The sequence below is a fragment of the Homo sapiens genome, chromosome 13, assembly GCF_000001405.40.
Source record: "Homo sapiens chromosome 13, GRCh38.p14 Primary Assembly".
In the NCBI taxonomy this organism is placed as follows: domain Eukaryota; kingdom Metazoa; phylum Chordata; class Mammalia; order Primates; family Hominidae; genus Homo; species Homo sapiens.
The window spans coordinates 88,540,463-88,546,114 of NC_000013.11; the positions used below are offsets into that span (position 1 = coordinate 88,540,463).

A 5,652-nucleotide genomic window follows, 5' to 3' on the forward strand; every position below is an offset into this window, starting at 1 on the left:
TCTTCAAAAGCCTGTGGTCCCAGTCAGAAGCTTGTAGCTGAGCAGGGCCACTGCAGCAGGCCCCCAGTAAAGCAATGCTGAGTAGAAACATGGGGTTGAAGCTACTGCGGCGCATCCTCACAGGGCAATTCCTACTGGAGCCATGGGAACAGGACTACAGAACTGTGGAGTCACCAGCAGCATGCAACACCCACCCAGGAAAGTTTCAGGCCCCATGCTCCAACCCATGTTGGTAGTCATATGAGCTGCACCCAGCAGAACCACAGGAGCAGGGCTTCCTGAGGCTTTGAACCCCTGTCCCAGTGTGTTCTAGAAAGTTTGACATGGAATCAAAAGAGATTGTTCTCCACCTTTAAGGCTAAATGTTTGCCCTGCTGGGTTTTGGACTTGCTTGGAGCTTTTTACTCTTATTTTGATTCTCTCTCCCTTTTGGAATGGGAATGTCTGTCCTATACCTGTAACACCATTTTATCTTGAAAGTGGATAACTTGCCTCAATTTCGGAGGTTTACAAGTAAGACTCTGGAATTTGGACTTTTGAGCTGATGCTGATGCTGAAATGAGTTTTTGGGGCTATGAGGATGGAAAAAAACGTATATGTATTTAAAGTTGTGAGAAAGACATAAGTTTTGGAGATCCAAGGGCAGAACACTATGACGTGAAAGTTTGTTCCCTCTGAAATTCATGTTGCATGAACTTTGTCCCCAGTGTGGCAGTATCGAGAGGTAAGGCCTTCAAGAGGTAATTGGATCACGGCCCTCAGGAGGGAATTTATCAATTAATGGATTAATGGATTAATGAATTGTCATGGGAGAGATATTAGTGGTTTCAAAAGCAGAGAAAGAGAGACCTGAGCTAGCACACTCCTCCCCTTCACCATGCGATGCCCTTCACTACCTTGCGACTCTACAGCGAGTCACCACCAGCAATGAGACGCTCATCAGATATGGATCCTCAACCTTGAAATGCTCATCTCCATACTGTAAGATATACATTTTATTCTTTATAAATTACCCAACTATGAAGGTTTTGTTATAAGTAACAGAAAATTGACTAAGAGAAAAACACAGAGACACAAAAATAAACATAATTTTTCTTAAGCATAATTTTTATTGTTTATCAGATTTTCACATGGATATGGCTCAAATTTTTATTTGATTTGTCTCTATTACACAGAATTATGAATATGTTTTGATGTTACTGGCGTTATTTTTTAAGCATATTTAACCTAATTCAACTAATAGTTTTTTTTATATATTATAACCAGAGAGGGCAAATTTTGAAATTATTTTTATCTATAATCCAAGGATAATATGCATTAAAGTAAGAAATAAGGTTTCCTTTGGCTATATGTTGCTTTAGTATGGTATCTTGTTATTGTATATACCATATAAGTTTTGTAACATGCATTATATAATCATGTTAAATTTATTAACACAGGCTTTGAAATAATCATTAAAACTATACATTTAACAAGATCGGAGTCATATGGTGCGCATCTGCCAGCACAGGTATGTACGTTCTAAATCTGGTAATTAATTTCTTCCTTCATATACAATGTGTTAGGTCCTAAATTAGATCCTATACTACATAATATTTCAAATTATGAACAGACTGGTAAATTTAATAAGAGAGATATATAAGGGGACATACATGGAGTGCCAAAAAATAAAAAGCATCAAGTGTGAGAGAATAATGCCAACTGATATTTTTTCAGTGATTAATATGTATCGTGAACTGATGATGTAAGCAATTTTACATGTTTTATCTATTTTACTTCCCAGAAATCTTACTAAATATAATTTCAGATTGCCACCTTTGGACAGATGAAAATACTGAGGCAGAGAAAAGTTAAGTAAGTTCCCCAAAGAGAAATACACAGCTAAGAAGTGTTAGTTTAACCTGACCATGTGGCAGAAAGCCAGATATGCAAAGAAAAACATGGGGGAATGGATCAAGAATGGTAAATTGACATATTATTATAAAAGAATTTAAATGAAAATTTAAGATGTTTTGTGTCAAATAAATGAATGAGAGTCATCGTAGGTGATCGTCCTTTGGACATTAATTTTAATATACTGCATGATGGAATAAGTACTCATACTGATCTTGAAAAACCCGACTTTCTAGTTACCAATTGCTTGTTCTTTCTACATTATTTTCTATTTGTTAGTCCTGAACTCTTTTTCTCAAATATATCATTTCTCCTTAACTTCTAAAACCACTTAATAAAAGCCTATCTGCCTTCTGCCTACTTTTAAAGTGATTATCTACTACTTACTTTTTAAAATCAAGAAGTTATATGAGGTAAGTAAGACAGTAGAGGGTGACATAATAAGAAAAAAATATGAAAGATTAGATATAAAAAGAAAAAATCAATATCTAATTGCAGTATGTGATATTATACACTCAAAAATCGTGTGTGTGTATATATATACACCCATATATCTATTTCCCAATAGCTTCCTTACATAATAACATTAGATTTCTACTTTTAAAAATATTGCACTCTTTTTGTAATTTGATCTCTTTTGTGCTAATTTTAATTAAGTTTTACAAACACTTTTGATATTCATGAATGAAGTACTGTCTGTATTGTCTATTTGCATTGTCATTATGTATGTGAGCAATATCTTAGGAAGATTTCTACTGATAAAAAAGACACTAATTTCAGCATTGCAAGATGTACATCAGCAAGGTAGATTTCAAGAATCTTTTTAGGCAGAGGTTCTTATTCTAGAGCCCATGGACAACCAGGAGGCCATGAGAAGATTTCAAAATGTCTTTGAGTGTTTTAAGACATTCTGCAAGAATGAATGTGTATATGCATCTTTCATTGGTGCTCCTGGAATTTATAAAACATACATTAAGAAACAAATATCAAGAATGACTACTGGAACCAAGTTACTCCTAAATGGGATGGCTAATCTGAAACACATTGATTTATCCTTTATTCACCAGAGACTGAAGGATCTTGCTATCTACCGACCTCTGGAATGTTCCCTGGCTTATCGAAGCCTTTTTGCTTCCAAAAAAGTTAATACAGGTGTCAGTCACTGAAACTCAGATTTTGGACCAATATAAATTAAATATTTATTCTTTCATGCCTATCAATCCTTGACAACTCACTGACAAAGGTTAACATTATTGAGACTCAGCTCCCAATTCACCTCTTAGTGATTCATTTGCAGTTTTCTCTTCAGTACACAGTGGAATATTTGTAATTGACTTCTCCTTAATTAAATCTTATGTATCGCTAGAATAATTAGTAAAGTTATACACAGGCCTAAAAGAGTAGACGGCATAAAACATACCCTCTAATTATTTTCAATATTAATTAGAAATAAATGGCAAATAAATTTGCCACCTAGATGATTATTTTATTTGGCACAAGAAATCCAGGGCTTTGATACAACTGAATATTGCACACCATAATACTGAATCTAGGATCAAAACTTTGTAATGTAGGTTTTCTTCCCAGTTCAGGAAACTTCTTGCCTGGTTATATTCACCAGCCCAAGTGGATAGGAGAATATTGTTTGTAATTAGCTGATTAATTTGAACCTTGTGAGCAGTCCACTTGAAAACAACTGACTCTAAATATGTGTGCCTTTAAAAATATTTTTACATCATTTAATTAGATCATTTGTTGATTAAAAATAAAACTTAATGGTGCCAAACTCTCTTAAAACATAGTAAAATATAATCATAAAAATTAAGCCTTCCCAGATCCATTCTCAACTAAGGAGTCTCTAGCATAAATACGATGTTAATGAAACACAGAAAGTTATATGTATCCCTTTACTTCTGAAAAATTAAATATGTAAGACTGTGCAAAAGGTTTTATAAGGTGTGCTAAGCAGTGACTGCATTTCCTATGAGCAGAGGTTTAGAATGTGTGTGTTTCTGTGTGTCATATTAAATTTCACCAAATTCAACATGTACCTTTATTTTATTTAATATTAACAAGCAAAATCTCAAAAAGCAGAATTCAATAAGAGTTTAAAAATACTTGTAATTTTCCATCTCAAAGTAAAGGCGAAAAAACTGAAAATTATAGCAAGGAAACTTAGCTGTCTCTATCTTGGCAAAAGATAAAACAAGGGAAAAAAAACTCACTTGAATATTTGAACCATAGGCTTATGCTCATTTAGATTTAAGATTTCAATCCACGTGACAAATATGGTACCCCAAAAAGCTTATGTAGAGAATATAATTTAAGTGTTCTCACATTGTTAGTGCCACTTGATGACTTGGAGAAACAAACTCTGATCATATCTTGAAGATACAAAATTTAATCTATCCAGGCAAAGGCAATTTTAAGATGTAACTCAAACTCAGATAAGATGTGGTAGTTCTATGTAGGACCACATAGGAAGCCACTTCAGGGCTTTAAACAGAGAAATAGCAAGTTCCAAAATATATTTCACTACAAATCCCTTTGGATTATGTCTGAAGAATGGATTGAAGATGTAATAATAGAAACAGAGACATTAAATAGGAGGCCATTTTACTAATGAATGAGAGGGATGCTGATGACTCAGACCATGGTGTTATTAGCATGTCATAAAAAGTGATTCACATATGTGTATTCTTGAAATCTGGCCAACAGGACTTGTTGATCTACAGAATGTAAGGTGTAAAACAAAAAACATGTGAAGAATAACCCCAAGTATTTTATGAGCAATGGGAGGAACACAATTAATACCAAAGATGGTGCAGGTCTGAGCGGGGAAAGACAGAGGTTTAGTGTCATGTTTGAGATGTGCATCAGACATTCAAGCAAAGGTGTCAGGTAGGCAGTTGTAGGTATGAGGATGGAATTTATAAGAGATCTCTGATATAGAGATATGATTTGTGTTTTTTGTCATTTATTTAAAGCAATAATACAAGAGGACATCACCAAGGGAATGAGCCTAGACCAAGAAAGGTACTACAAACTGGGTCTGAAGCACTGTGAACAGGGTGGAAGAAGAGCAAAACATAAAACCTGTTTCAGAGAATGAGTGACAAGTTTTGTTGGGTCAAATACAGCGACTGCTCATGTATAACCTTTATTGATTCCATGTTTGTATCCCTCCAAAATTTATATGTTCAAGTTCTAACCCCCAGTATGATGACATTAGGAGGTGGGGCTTTTGAAAGGTAAAGCCCTCATTATGGGATTCAAGTCCTTAAAAACAGAGAAGAGACAAGAGATCTTTCTTCACTATATGAGGATGCAGCGAGTAGATGGATGTTGTAAACTAAGAAGTTGACCTTCACCAAGGATCCACTCATGTTGCCACACGGATCTCAGACTCCTAGCCTCCAGAACTGTGAGCAATAAATTTTTGTTGTTTAAGGCATTTAGTCTATTCTATTCTGTTATAGCAGATTGAACCAATGCTGTGACATAAACAAAAACAATTCAGGTATTGTGGATGGAAAATTATGATGGGATAAATGTCTAAAAGGTTGTCTGTGTCAGATACCTTTGTTTCTGTGGCCTAGCAAATAAGGAATATTGAACATTTCTTCAATTGTTAATTCATGCTAATACAGGCCTTAAGATTAATTCTTTCTATGGGAAATGCATAGTTCTAGGTTGTTGATGGCTAGGGAAAGAGGACTTTGGATGTTTGTCAGAGAACTGCTTTTAGTAAATTATAAT

General features: G+C 34.7%; 1 long non-coding RNA gene across 1 annotated transcript; it reads left to right on the plus strand.

The window, feature by feature from the left end:
* Positions 1-366: 366 nt before the first annotated feature.
* Positions 367-5,047, plus strand: LINC00433 (long intergenic non-protein coding RNA 433). Its single transcript, NR_047021.1, has 3 exons — positions 367-981; positions 1,440-1,510; positions 4,881-5,047. It is a non-coding gene; the product is annotated as a long intergenic non-protein coding RNA 433 (long non-coding RNA).
* The last annotated feature ends 605 nt before the right edge of the window (positions 5,048-5,652 follow it).